The sequence below is a fragment of the Homo sapiens genome, chromosome 12 (genome assembly GCF_000001405.40).
Source record: "Homo sapiens chromosome 12, GRCh38.p14 Primary Assembly".
Classification (NCBI taxonomy): domain Eukaryota; kingdom Metazoa; phylum Chordata; class Mammalia; order Primates; family Hominidae; genus Homo; species Homo sapiens.
In genome coordinates this window covers 62,576,388-62,590,985 of record NC_000012.12, presented here as the reverse complement: position 1 = coordinate 62,590,985, position 14,598 = coordinate 62,576,388, and the positions used below count along the sequence as shown (strand labels likewise).

Here is a 14,598-nt window from a genome sequence, read left to right as displayed (position 1 = left end):
AACTCAAATTTCTTAAATTAAAATATGTTTTAGGCTGGCGTGGTGGCTCACGCCTGTAATTCCAGCACTTTGGGAGGCCAAGGCGGGTGGATCACCTGAGGTCAGGCCTGGCCAACATGGTGAAACCCCATCTCTACTAAAAATACAAAAATTAGCCAGACGTGGTGGTCCCAGCTACTTGGGAGGCTGAGGCTGGAGAATCGTTTAAACCTAGGAGGCGGAGGTTTCAGTGAGCTGAGATAGCACCACTGCACTCCAGCCTGGGCAACAGAACAAGACTCTGTCTAAATATTCATTTGTGTACAAAATTCATTGTGTACAAATATTCATTTGTGTACAAAACCGGGATGGGGGAGTATTAGAATATGTACTTTGTATTTAGATAATAAACTTCTGGAGGGATCCACAAACTAATAAAAATGGTTGTCTGTGGTAAAGTAAGAACTGGGCAGATAGAGAATAAGGAAAAGATCATATTAAAACTTTCCCCTGTATATCATTTTACAGTTTTGGATTTTTGGACCATGTATATGTATACTACCTATTTAAAATTTTAAATAAAGATCAAGTAAAATGATGAAAACAAAATCTTGGCTGGGGGGCGGTTGTTCATGCCTGCAATCCCAGCACTTTCGGAGGCCAAGGTGGGCAGACTGCTTGAGCTCAGAAGTATCAGACCAGCCTGGCCAACATGGCAAGACCCTATCTCTACTGAAAATACAAAACAATTAGCAGAGTGTGGTGGCACGTATCTGCAGTCCCAGCTACTTGGGAGGCTAAGACGGGAGGATCGCTTGAGCCCAGGAGGTCAACGCCGCAGTAAGCACAGATCACACCACTGCACACTAGCCTGGGCGACAGAGCAAGAGCCTGTCTCAAAAAAGACAAAAACCAAAAAATCTCCCCAAACAAAAATAAGTCTAACAAATGCATCTTCTCTCACTAAAAAGCCCCAAAACAAATAATGAAGTCATTCTTTTTCTTAATAAAGCTTACCACAGCTTTCTAAAATGTTATATCATCTTATATGTTTACATTCAATTTAAATTTTCACTTCATAGACCCAGAGACATAATTCAAACTCCATTCAACAATTTTTTAACATTCATTTAGTTAGATCATCTATTACTACACTGCCTTATACATATAACCTATTGGCTTTGTAAAAAAGAGTTACTGAGTTTTTGCTTCCTTTTCTCCCTTTATACACATTCTGGTTCTTTTTTTTTTTTTTTTTTTTTAAAGATGGGGTCTGACTACACTGTCCAGGATGGTCTCAGACTCCTAGGCTCAAGCAATCCTCCCACCTCAGGCTCCCAAAGTGTTGGGATTACAGGTGTGAGCCACTGTGCCAGCCCAGGACACTTTTTGAAGAAAACCCAAATCTGAACTCTAATGGGATAAATTCAGGACACTGCCCCAGGCTTTTTCTTAGAAATTCCATCCATCCCTTTGGGTTGAATAAAGACAAGTGTACTGCCTCTTAAGATTTAGTATAATACCCTTTCTAGGCCAAAGTACCAATGGGTGAATTTTAACAAAAGAAAAATATGTATTTACTCCACTTATATAATAGTTGACAGGAACAAATATCCTACAACTCATTCATTAGTAATTTACTAGGAATCTACTTTTTTCTTGGATATTAAAAGTAATGCTCCTTAAGGTGCCAATCTGCTACAAAATAAGAAGCTTGTGCCAGAATGTAAACCAACACACAGTTTTCTTCTTTACCAATGTCTTCTTGTATAAAAAAAAGTCAGCTGAACCAAGCAGTGTGTTTAGTGACACATCTGATTTATATTCTGATGCCAGCTCACTATCTTGTCCCAGACCAGTAACAAAACTGTTGAAGCCAATCAATGGCTGGTCCAACAAACCATACTTTGAAAAGCAATGTTGTAGAGGATTCAAAATAGAACAAAACATGGTCTGAAAAGCCCCTCAAAAATCTTAACAATGTAAAGGGAGATGAGTCATGTACATGCATAATTGTAATACAAATAGAGTGCTTCGAGACAAGTACACATAAAAAAGCTTTGCATTCAATGAAAAGAAAAATTATTTACCTTTAAGAGATTAAAAACAAGGTTTAAAAGTAGGGTGGTATTCCAAATAGGCTGATACAAGCTGGATAATGAAATAAACAAAAGGTTGAAAAAATTTGGGAAGATTGAGAATTTTAGTTTAGTGCAGAGTAGGGGAAATGAAATCTATTGTGGGAAATAAAGTGTGACTAGAATGGAGTCAGACTGGAGTATTCTTTGCAATTTGGTAGGAAACGGTAAATGAAAAATATTTTTTTGCTTTGGGAGGATGAGGAAATAAATGATCAAAGCCCTACTATGGAAAAATCATTTCCGGCTATCATGTAAAGAATGGACTGGACAGGAATGAACAACAGAAAGGGCAAACAAATGAGAAAGAATGGTAAAAATGATTCAAAGTTATTTATACAGTTTGTATCTGCAAAGTAAATCAGTACGAATAGATGATAAAGCCCTTTTCCACCTGTCCCCAAATAAGTCAATTATCTTCTACATTAAAAATATATGAAATATGGATTATTCTTGCAATAACCTGACTTCAGAACAATATAGTAAAAAAAAAAAAGTAAGGTAGACTGCTTCATAAAAAATGAAAACATCACAAATTAATTTTACTTAATTGACATCCTAATGGACTTGATGCTTTGTTGTCATGAGAACTGGAGAAAAGAAGTCTAATGACTGCTATGTTCCTATAATTCAGTTAAATTAACAGACAAAAGTCCATCACAAATAGAACATAAATGTTACGAATTTAGAATAACTGTTTCTAAGCACTTACCATTCTCAGGCTGAGTTTTCTTAAGTGAATCAATAAGAGTACTGACTGCTTTTAAAACAAATATAATTTCTGTTACTTGTTGCCTGAAAAAGAGATAGGAAATCATTTCCATTAAGATTTTAAAGTTGCCAGGTATGTTTGTTTTTTAAACTAAGTTTGTACAAATAGATGAACTTTTGAAAAATACTGAACACAATACAATGCAAGGTTAATGTTAGTTTTAAATTCATATAAAAGTAAAAATCATTTTATTTATATGTACTTCAGTGTGCAAATCAAATTTGTAGTTATTCTTGCCATGACTTATCAATTAATAAAGAGGTGGGGCAATCTACTCCTGAAAAATTAAATTTATTTGTAAGATATTTCACATAACTACTTAAAATTAAAACGTTTTATTTTTATTTATTGATTTTTTGAGACAGGGTCTTGCTCTGTCACTTAGACTGGAGTGCAATGGTGAGATCACAGCTCACTGCAGCCTTGACTTGCGCTCAAGTGATCCTCCCACTTAGCCTCCCGAGTAGCTGGGACTACAGGGGCATGCCACATTGTCTGGCTAATTTTTTTTTTTTTTTAAAGTAGAAACAAGGTCTTGCTTGCTATGCTGCCCATGCTGGTCTCGAACTCCTGGGCTCAAGTGATCCCCCTGCCAAGTGATCCTCCTGCCTCGGCCTCCTAAAGTGCTGGGATTACAGGCATGAGCCACTGTGCCCTGCCCTTAAAACATTTTATAATACATGCTTTTAAAACTTCTCTACAAGTTTTTTTTTTTTTAAACTAATTAGTACTAAAAGAGATTTGCCAAAGCTTAAATGGAAACAAAGACTACTATTACCACATGGCATATATTCTACCATGCTGTTGAAAGTATATTCAAAATTACAATGGTACTTATTTAACTTTCTAATAATACAAACAAGAAACATTCTGGAAATCAATCCTAAGGTAGCACTATTTGGAGACATTAGCAATGAAGAATGAACTTGGAGTAAAGAGTCAACAAGAGTAGCGTGATTCCCTTCTTTCTCCTCATAAAAACAAAGCTCTTCTGGTCTCTGGTCCGCCCTCATCCCTCCCCATTCCTGGTGTGCATTTGTGTTATTCTGCAGATAAGACTTTCTAATACCATGTCAGGATACTATTTCAAGACTTCCTATTGTAAGCATTGAAGTATTTTATTGTGTTGCAATGTAGCTTTTTACAAAACAATTAAATGATACTGCAACAAACACAGAATGATACAATATAACTTCATAGGACAATTATAAATAAGGCTCAATTTAAAGGTAGTAGTTAAAAAGTAAAGACTTAGAACATTAAAAAATAAGGTGAAAGTTTTCTTCTGAAATCAAAAAATATTTTATAATATATAAATATGTTCTAACAATATTCCACTCAAAACAACCTTATTACCACATTTCCAAGTATACTTCAGAAATCAATTTTCAATCATGCCCATAGCCAAATTACTAACATCTGTCTTTGGAGTGTTTTTGTGTATAAATTTGAGTATAAGGAGTTATAATTTAAGTTCTAGAAATTCAAAATACACTGGATCCTAAAAGAAGAAATACAAATAGCTAATATGCATTGGTAATTAAAAAATGAAAGCAAAGTACCACATGACTATTTTTCATTCATCAAATTAGAAAAAGATAAATGATAAACTGGCAAATAATTTAAAAATGCTAAAAATTGAGGAAAGGGACATTCACACATTCCTGGGAGAATGTAAATTGGTATAAATCTCTGTTGGGAAATTTGGTTAATGCATATCAAAAGCTATAAAATGTCTGTGCCTTTTGACAGGTCAATTCCAACTTCAGAAATTTATTATAAGTAAATTAAAATGTGCACAAAGATTTAACACTGGTGATTTGCCTCTCCAGTCCTACCTTATGAGACGGGAACAATGATTTTCGTCTTTCCTGACTTTGATAACTTTGTTTTCCCATGTTATTTTCTGTTTGCTTCATTAGTTATGCCTTAAACTCTAATTTCCACATTATAAAAGTATTTGCAAACCTAACCCTAATTTATGACTGTATCCTTTGTTGAATTCTGGTCTGTACTCCAACTCTGATTAGCCTTGGCTGATCAGAAAAGCCTAGTGCACCTTCCACTGACACAGGCTGAACAGATGAGAAATAAATCAGTTTAGGTCCATGGGCTTAACTAAGCAGATTGGATGAAAAGAAGACCTAAGATCAGGCTAGCTGACACAGAGAGAAACCTGCAAATGACTGTAAAACAAACTAGGATATTCCTAAAATATGATTTATGATTTTCACTTTAGAGAAATAATATCATGTGCTCATAGAGATCCACAAGTACTTATCCAGAAATCTCTGGAAGAAGATATATTTTGGAATTCAGTTTATTTTTTTTTAATTCAAAAAGGTAATTTGGTACCTATGTATCATATGTTACATAATCTCCATGAGGGATCTAAAAAAGCACCCCATAACAAAACATGTTAATATATCTGCAGGAAAACCTGTGAATATTTACACCATATGGGATAAATAAGATTATAAACAACTTCAGCTTAGTTCAGATCACTTACAAAAACACTTGCTTTTCAGAGTTTTCCTTGTTATCAACAATTAGTACAACAATACATTTATTTCTTTAATAAAATGAAATATATACCTTGGAAGAGGGCATTTACCACTTAATCTTTCATCCTCTATATAGCGATGTAGTACATCTTGGGACCTCTTTAAAAGCACTGAGAGTGCCATTCGTGAGATGTAGCCTTCTTGAGGTGTTGTGACTTTATTACTGAAGGAAAACTGGAGTAATGTTTCAAAACACATTTTAGAAAATTCCTCTCTCAAACGAATATCAATCTCTGCTTCTGTAAAATTAACAAATTTTGATGGTTAATAGAAGTTAAATCAATGAGCTTTAATGATAACAATGCTTAGCAAACTAGGAATAGAGAGAAATTCCTCAATCTGGTGAAAGGCACCTAGAACAACCTATAGCTAATAGCATACATATAGTGAAAATGTGTTTTTTTTTTGTTTTTTTTTGTTTTGTGTGTGTGTGTGTGTGTGTGTGTGTGTGTGTGTGTGTGTGTGTGCATGTAGAGAGAAACAAATTCCCCCTCACAAGATCAAAAACAAGGCAAGATCCTCATCACTTCTATTCAACATATTTCTTGATTTGGTCTTTCTATACCATAAAACAGCACTGTAAAATATACTTCACAATAGTTTTTCATGTGGTCAAACTTGCAGTATTCTCTTTTTCTCTCTTTTTCCCTCTCCTAGCAACTTCTTTCCTGGAACGTGACCTCTGCTCCAGTCCGGCAGTTGCTCTCTAGACACGCTGTTCTGTTATATCCTGAAACTAGTCTTTGCCATCACTCTGGAAATTGTTTCCATTCTCTCAAGTTAGATCCCACTTCCAAGATCTCCTTTTTTTTTTTTTTTTTTTTTTTGTTGAGACAGAGTCTCATCTTGTTGCCCAGGCAGGAGTGCAGTGGTGTAATCTTGGCTCACCGCAACCTCTGCCTCCTGGGTTCAAGCAATTCTCCTGCCTCAGCCTCCTGAATAGCTGGGACTACAGGCACGTGCCACCACACCCAGCTAATTTTTTGTATTTTTAGTAGAGACAGTGTTTCACTGTGTTAGCCAGGATGGTCTCGATTTCCTGACCTCGTGATCCGCCAGCCTTGGCTTCCCAAAGTGCTGAGATTACAGGCGTGAGCCATGGCACCCAGCCTCATGCCTTATTTTTCCTTGGTTTACTACTTTGCTTTTACAGAGCATATTTTGAAGTAGCTTCCTAAGAAACAATCAATGAGAAGTAAAACTTTTGAGCGCATGTACCTCCGAAAATGTCATATATTATGGTACTCAAAAATGTACCCTGCAGCATCAGCATTACCAGAGAACTTGTTAGAAATGTAAATTCACATGCCTCCCAGTCTTACTGAATCAGAAATTCAGGGGGTACAACTCAGCAATTGCTTGTCCTCTGGTTGATTAGGATGCATGCTGAAATTGGAGAATTACTGTTTTACACTCATACTTGGCCAACAGTATGAGTTTTAACATGGAGCTTCCATGTTAAAAGTCCTTTCCATTTACAACTCTAAAACCACTGCTTCAATGTCTTTTAGCATCCAATACTGCGTCTGAGAATTCCACTGTCTGTTTTTTTTTTTTGTTTTTTTTTTTTTTGAGACAGGGTCTTCACTCTGTCACCCAGGCTGGAGTGCAGTGGCATGATCTCAGCTTACTGCAACCTCCACCTCCCAGGTTCAAATGATCCTCCCACCTCAGACTCCCGAGTAGCTGGGATTACAGGCACGCACCACCACACCTGGCTAATTTTTGTATTTTTTTTTTTTTTTTAGTAGAGACAGGGTTTCACTGTGTTGGCCAGGACAGTCTCGAACTCTTGACTTCAAGTGATCCACCCATCTCAGCCTCCCATAGTGCTGGGATTACAGGCATGAGCCACTGTGCCTGGCCTCCAATGTCTTTTATACTGAACTTTTTTTCTTTCTTTCTGAAATCTTTTAGGGTCTTCTCTTTATCCCAGGTATTCTGATATTTCATAATGACATGCCTGATTTGGGTCTTTTTTCTTTCACTGTTTTTGATACTGACTATTTTTAATCTGGAAGTTTTGTTCTTCAGTTCTTCAGTTTATTTCTTTGATAATTCCTTCTCCTAGATTTTCTTTGTTCTTTCTTTGTCAGATGTTAGGCTCCCTGGATTCATTTTACTTCTCCTTTCTACCTTTCACTGAACTCTACATCTTTAGTTTCTATGAGTTCTTTCTCGTCTTGTTTTTTTTGTTTTTGAGACAGAGTCTCTAGTCTGTCACCTAGGCTGGAGTGCAGTGGTGTGATCACAGCTCATTGCAGCCTTGTTCTCCTGGGCTCAGGTGATCCTCCCACCTCAGCCTCCCAAGTAACTGGGACTACAGTCATAAACTACCTCACCCAGCTAACATTTGTATTTTTTGTAGAGATGGGGTTTTGCCATGTTGCCCAGGCTTGTCTCAAACTCCTGGGCTCAAGTGATCCTCCTGCCTCGGCCTCCCAAATGCTGGGAATACAGGCCTGAGCCACCGTGCCCAGCCTTCTTTCTTTTTCTACTGCTCCTTTTATGTAGCATTTTTTAAATTGTTCTTTTATCTCTTTGATCATCCTAACTGGTTTTATGTTTTCAGTGACTCTGCATTTTATCTGTTTCCTTCCAATTTCTTTTACTCTCTCTTCATTTGTTTTGGTCTTTCTCTTTGGTGTTAGAGAATTTCCTCAAATGTCTGTGAGCTCTGACTATCAGATCATACTTAAAAGCAAAAGGCCAATCATCACTGGAACCTCTGTGTTTACAGGTTGGCCTTGTTTAGCAAATAAAAGTTTTGTATGTATATGTTTAAGGAAAACTCTAAGTTTTTTTTTTTTAATGAAAACTACAAACTTTATTTTTCAACATAAGCTCAATCAAGTTCAAGACACTTTTGTAAGCGATGATACCAGCCATTTAGTTTATCTGTAAAAAACTGAGGTCCTGGGAATTTAACCATGTCAATGCTGTCTTTTTTACATTATTGACTGAAGAAAAAGGCTGTCCTTCAATGGTATTTTAAGATCCGAAACAAAAAGAAAACAAAAAGAGCCAAATTACAACTGTAAAGTGGATGCCTAATGATTTCCCACTGAAACTCTTACAAAATTGCCCTTGTCTGATGAGAGGAATGAGCAGGAGCATTGTTGTGGTGGTGAAGGACTCTCACGTGAAGCTTCCCAGGTGTTGGAAAACTCCAAGTTAGTGCTGAGAAGACATGTGTCATATGGCAAAGTCACTGAAAGAATGTCCATGCACCTTTCTTGTCTTGGTAAATTTAATACTATACATAGCAAGATATATTATCAGAAAACTGCCAGTAAAAGTATACTTGGTAACTCAATAGCCCTTATTTAACTTTGGACATTTATACCTAATTGTGAATATTGTTCTTAATGTGTATTTTATTAAAAGTTAAATATTTTCACATACTCTTAATAATAAAAAGTTGGCTACATTAAGATAAGCGGGGTTTAAAATTTTCCCCGAGATTCTCATGTTTGCTAAACCCACACTTTACCAGGCCAGTTTTAAAAACTGTTTGGGCTAGAAAAAAGAACTAGTATGTGAAGTGAGCAGTATGAGAGACATCTAGTGGTCAAACTGTACACATAAATGCTCTTTAAAATGCTCAGCACAAAATAGGAGAAGCTAGTTAAGGCTCTAGTAAATTCTGAGGATTAAGGATCTGCATGGCACAAATTTACAGTTTCTTTTTTCTTTTTTGTTTTTGAGACAGTCTCGCTCTGTCGCCCAGGCTGGAGTGCAGTAGTGTGATCCTGGCTCACTGCAACCTCCGCTTCCCGAATCAAGCAATTTTCCTGCCTCAGCCTCCTGTGTAGCTGGGATAACAGACAAATGCCATCACACCTGGCTAATTATTTTTAGTGGAGACAGGGTTTCACCGTGTTGGCCAGGCTGGTCTTGAACTCCTGACCTTAAGTGATCTGCCCGTCTCGGCCTCCCAAAATGTAGTTTTTAAATCATATATACATATATATGAGACAAGAGTCTTGCTCTGTTGCCCAGAGTGCACTCTAAAATGCAGTGGTACAATCATAACTCCGTCACCTCGGCCTCCTGGGCTCAAGCCATCCCACTTCAGCCACCCGAGTATCTAGGACTACAGGCATGTGTCACCATGCCCAGCTAATTTTAAAATCTTTTGTAGAGACAGAGGCAGTCTCACTGTGCTGCCCAGGCTGGTCTCAAACTACTGGCCTCAAGCGATCCTCCCACCTTGGGATCCCACCTAGCGATCCCAGAACACTAGGATTATGGGCATGAATCACTGCACCTGGCTGATGCCACAGTTTAAGACTTGAGCTCAGGTTTACAAAAAGAGAATTAATAACAAACAGTAATTTATATATCAGTTCCCAATTAAGGCAGCATGATATAATGAAAAGAAGCATGTAGTTCTTTTTAAGCATGAATTTGGCCTCTAGCCCTAAGATTGTGAGCAATTTTTTCAACCTTTCTAAATCAATTTTCTTTCCTGTAATATGGTCTTACCTATCCTCACAGAAATGTTGTGAGAAATAATATAACATTCTAGCATAGTATCTTGTACATAGTTGGCACTGAGTAAATGTTAATTCCCTTAAAAAATGTTGAGGCATCTTATTTTTTTAAATGAACTCTGTAATTTATAGTCCTGAGAAGATGGTATTAATATCTCCATTTTAAAGATTACAAAACTGAGACTCAAAAGTTAATTGACTGCTAAGTGGCAGAATATACATTCATATTTTTATATTCCTTTCCAATCTATGACTTCACAAAACTGGTAACTTCTGTCAGCCTGCAGTGACATCCATGGATTCCATAAAGTGCTTTGCAATTTAATTCTTCACAGTTTGCAGTTATGATATTTAAAAAATTTAGTTCAGTGTTTCTGATATATGATCAGAAACACAGTATTTCACAGAATAGAAACATGGAATAAAAACATTCTATTCCACAGAATAGTCATGTCATAACATTTCTCCTCATAAAGCTTAGTTCTATATTACAATCCTAAAAATCACCTTACCATTCTCCAGTTTACATTACCAAAATCATAGGATTAAACATTTCTACTGACAGTTTCTTCAAAAGTACTTCAATACTTTTTAATACTTAAAAAAATTAACATACCTGTAAATGAAGATGACTGAGAATGTATTGAGCCCTTGTTAAGCATTGTCATTATTTGACCAACAAATTCCTTAGGAATAAAATTGGCATAAGGTAGTATCTCATTGCTGATAAGTTGAACTACCTAAAACAAAAGAGGCAAATGCAAATGTATTGTTTTCTTTGAAAGAGACTAAAATAATTTCTAGAGTAAAATTTAAATTTTACTTTAAATGAAAATCAGTTAAAGAACTCTCCTTTAAAGAAGTACACAAACATTTTAATGTTAACATACAGAATGACTACTAATCTGTTTCTCTCATCTGTCCTAGTAACTTTAATACAAAATAGTCAGTACCATAACTGTTTACTATGCCAACCATTTGGACAAATGTTGATCTTCAGCATGATAACTGCAAATAGGGCTCTAGAGAAAAATAGCATATGAAATTTACCCATGTTAGAATTAAAATATTCAAAATAGGATTAAGAATAACATTTAAATCACTTTTTATAACCAAAAACTATCAGCTGTAAGAGAAATTAAAGTTATATTCATTTTTGTCAAATAGTTTATCTCTAACATGTAGTATGTTATTTTGCCCTTTAAAGTCCACAAGAGCTTTAATACAGTAATGGCACGAAAGGCAATATTTTGTTTCCATATGATAATGCCTATGCATTTTAAATGTATATTTTATTTATTTATTTATTTTGAAATGGAGTCTTGCTCTGTCACCCAGGCTGCAGTGCAGTGGCGTGATCTCGGCTCACTGCAAGCTCCGCCTCCCAGGCTCACGCCATTCCCCTGCCTCAGCCTCCCAAGTAGCTGGGACTACAGGGGCCCACCACCACGCCCAGCTAATTTTTTTTTTTTTTTTTAGTAGAGACGGGGTTTCACCATGTTAACCAGGATGGTCTCAATCTCCTGACCTCATGGTCTGCCTGCCTCCACCTCCCAAAGTGCTGAGATTACAGGTGTGAGCCACCGCGCCCGGCCAAATGTATATTTTAAAGTAATGTAATTGATTTTATTTACTTAAAAGTTCCTCTATCCCACTTAAAGGAAAAAAACCACCAAAACCCTACCATCAACAAAAAAATCCACAACCACAAGAACTGCTTATTTAAATTCCATTTATAATCCTCAAAACATATTTCTTACTTTTTTACTTATTTTTTTTACTTTTTTTTTTCAGAGACAGGGTCTTGCTCTGTTGCCCAGGCTGAAGCACAGTGGTACAGCTGTAGCTCACTGCAGCCTCCAACTCCTGAGCTCAAGTGATCCTCTCACTTCAGTCTCCCGAGAAACTAGGACTACAGGTGTGAACCACCATGCCCAATTAACTTAAAAAACTTTTTTTTTTTTGTAGAGATGGTGTCTTGCTATGTTGCCTAGGCTGGTCTCAAACTCCTGGTCTCAAGCAATCCTCCTGCCTCAGCCTCTCAAAGCACTAGGATTACAAGTACGAGTCACAGTTCCCAGCCTCAAAATATATTCTTTAAAAAACACTATTTGCTTTAAGAATTCCATAGGCTGTATATACAGCTGATTAAAAACTGAAAAATTCAAGCAACTTTCTGATTAATTTGAACCAGAAACATCTGGTATGTCAAACTGCAGAGTAAGCTCTCAAATATATGCCTCCTGACTGATGGATTTATTTCATCGAATAAACTCTTTTTAAACTTATTAAATGAACACAACTAAGTATTGGGACAACACGCACAAAGCACAAGACTGTAACAAATCTAAGGAAGTCACTTTTAAAATGCCAGTCCTTTAAACATCAACGTTTAACCTGTAAGAGTTTTAATGCTTTCAGTTTTAATCTTAACCTATTACTTTATTCTTTCAGCAACTGTATAGTTCAAACATTTTTACTATTTGGTTTCAAAAATGGTCACAGGAAAACATTTTAAATAGCCTCCTTACCTCGACATCAATATTTTCATTTCTTTGAAACTCTTGAATAGAGAGATTATCTGGAGGTATGCTAAAAAAAAAAAACACTTGATTTTTAAAGATAAAATATTCCCTGCAAATACAAACAAAATAGAAAAACAGTATTCAAATGTCAAAAAATTATGTCTTCCAACCCAGGTTGGGGCATTATTATTTATTTAAAAGAGTAATGTTGTAAATTAAAGTCATTAGTTTAAATGACTAAGCTAATTACAAACATGATACTCTAACTACAAAAACACTAGGTCCAATCTTGAACTAAATAAAATCTGTAGAACTAAACTTATTTCAATATTATGAATGAAAAAACAACGAAAGGTAAAGAGCTATCATCTGCAGCAGAGCAAAAGTTACCATTGTGGTGTTACCTGAATTCACTTATATTGGTGGTTATTTAAGACAGCCTTAGTTCAGCTGCTGAATTATTCACTCAGAGACAGTCCATTAATCATTAATTTGTAATAAATACAATGGATTAAAGATCTTTACAATAAAGAGGGAAAATCTGTAAAGAAGAAGACTGATGCAGATTTTCTAAAGCAGAAAATTGTTCCAACAAGAACAAAGAAAATCAATAGTTCTGAGAGAACCAAGGTGGATTCCAGACTCTGTGGCTCATAAGAGTGAACAGTAAAATGGACATAAAGTTAAAAAACAGCAAGATACTATTTAAAAACAGTTGAGAATAGGATAGTAATAACTGTTAGAATAATGACAGCTAAAAAGTTAGACAGCCACAGTACTATGAGCTTTATTTGTATTAATCTCCCATAGCAATTCCATGTAGTAATTATTATATAATCAAGAGAAGAGGGAACTGAAACTTAGAATGCCTACTAATATGCCCAAGAACACACTTTAAGTAAATGATGAGGCCACAATCTCAACCTAGATTTATCTGATATTTGAGCCTACATTATTCTTTTTTATGTTGTAGATGTAAAAATAGTATTAGAACATTTAGGTTTAATATACACTTCTGTATATTAAGTATAATGTACAATTTTGTATATAGGAATATATGGGCATCAGACTGTGGTTTCTTTGATTTGGACATTTTTCATTCAACAAATATCTACTGAGTACCAACTACTTTGCATCAGGTATTATATTCTTGGGTGTTCAAGATCTAGCTGTGAACAGGACAGACTCAGTCCATTTCTCATAGAACTTAGATTCTGGTGTCCAAGTCCTAAGCTAACTATAAATTGGTAGTAGGAACTAGAGTAAAAAAACTGAAAGAAATTTACCCAAACCTGAACCAATCAGAGGAATTTCACAATCACTGCCATCAAAGCAGCTTCACAGACTATATCTGCATCTCTAGAGACAAAAGTTGTGTTTAATTTTAATTTATAACCAAGGAAGGTAAGGGTTTAGTAATATTAAAAGATTTGTGATGATGGTGGAGGTAACTAAGGATGAGTTGATGATCAACAAAAAATGAAGAGGCAAAAATAATAAAATAATATTAATATTATTAGTGTGTATATTTCTATATTATTAGTGTTTATAGAAATATACACACTAACAATATTAATACTTTTAGTGTGTATACTGTGTGCTAAGGTGTATTAGTGTGTTTATTTCAACACATTAATAATATTAATATTATTTGGATCATATATCAGAAACACTGAACTAGATTTTTAAAATATCATATGATGAGGGAAGAGAGTAGCATACAAAACTAAAAACTGGATAACTAATAGTTATTTAATTTATAACTAGCAAACATATCAAAAACATCGATTGAGCTTTTAAAAATGCTGATTAACAGAATTTACCTATAAATTATAAGGGGCAATGGTCAATACTGCAGGTTACAAATAAGCCATGTAAGATCTTAAATTCCTTAAATTTGAAAACTACAGTAATCTTTAAAAATTTATTTTCATGAATCTTTATTTAAAATAAAAAAGAGCCTTCAAACTTATAAAGTGTTATTTGTATTTTGTCAGTTCTCTCTGTATGACATATTAAAATTTTTGTTGCAATATAATCTATATATTATAAAATTCACCCTTTTAAAATATACAATTTAGTGTTCCTTAGTATATTCATAAAGTTGTACAACCATCACCATTT

At 35.3% G+C, this 14,598-nt stretch overlaps 1 protein-coding gene across 13 annotated transcripts in view; it reads right to left on the bottom strand.

Annotated features, from left to right (window-relative positions):
- The window catches only part of MON2 (MON2 regulator of endosome-to-Golgi trafficking), a 133,651-nt gene that overhangs the window by 9,491 nt on the left and 109,562 nt on the right, over positions 1–14,598 (bottom strand). For 11 of the 13 annotated variants that reach the window (XM_017019045.2, XM_047428542.1, XM_017019043.2 and 8 more), the window contains 4 exons: positions 12,481–12,541; positions 10,566–10,689; positions 5,485–5,692; positions 2,830–2,912 (listed from right to left, as the gene is read on the bottom strand). In XM_017019045.2, coding sequence (XP_016874534.1) covers positions 2,830–2,912; positions 5,485–5,692; positions 10,566–10,689; positions 12,481–12,541 — 476 coding nt within the window. Of the gene's footprint in view, positions 1–2,069; positions 2,131–2,829; positions 2,913–5,484; positions 5,693–10,565; positions 10,690–12,480; positions 12,542–14,598 lie in introns of those variants that run through there. The other 2 variants (NM_001278469.3, XM_047428544.1) reach the window with 2 other exon arrangements.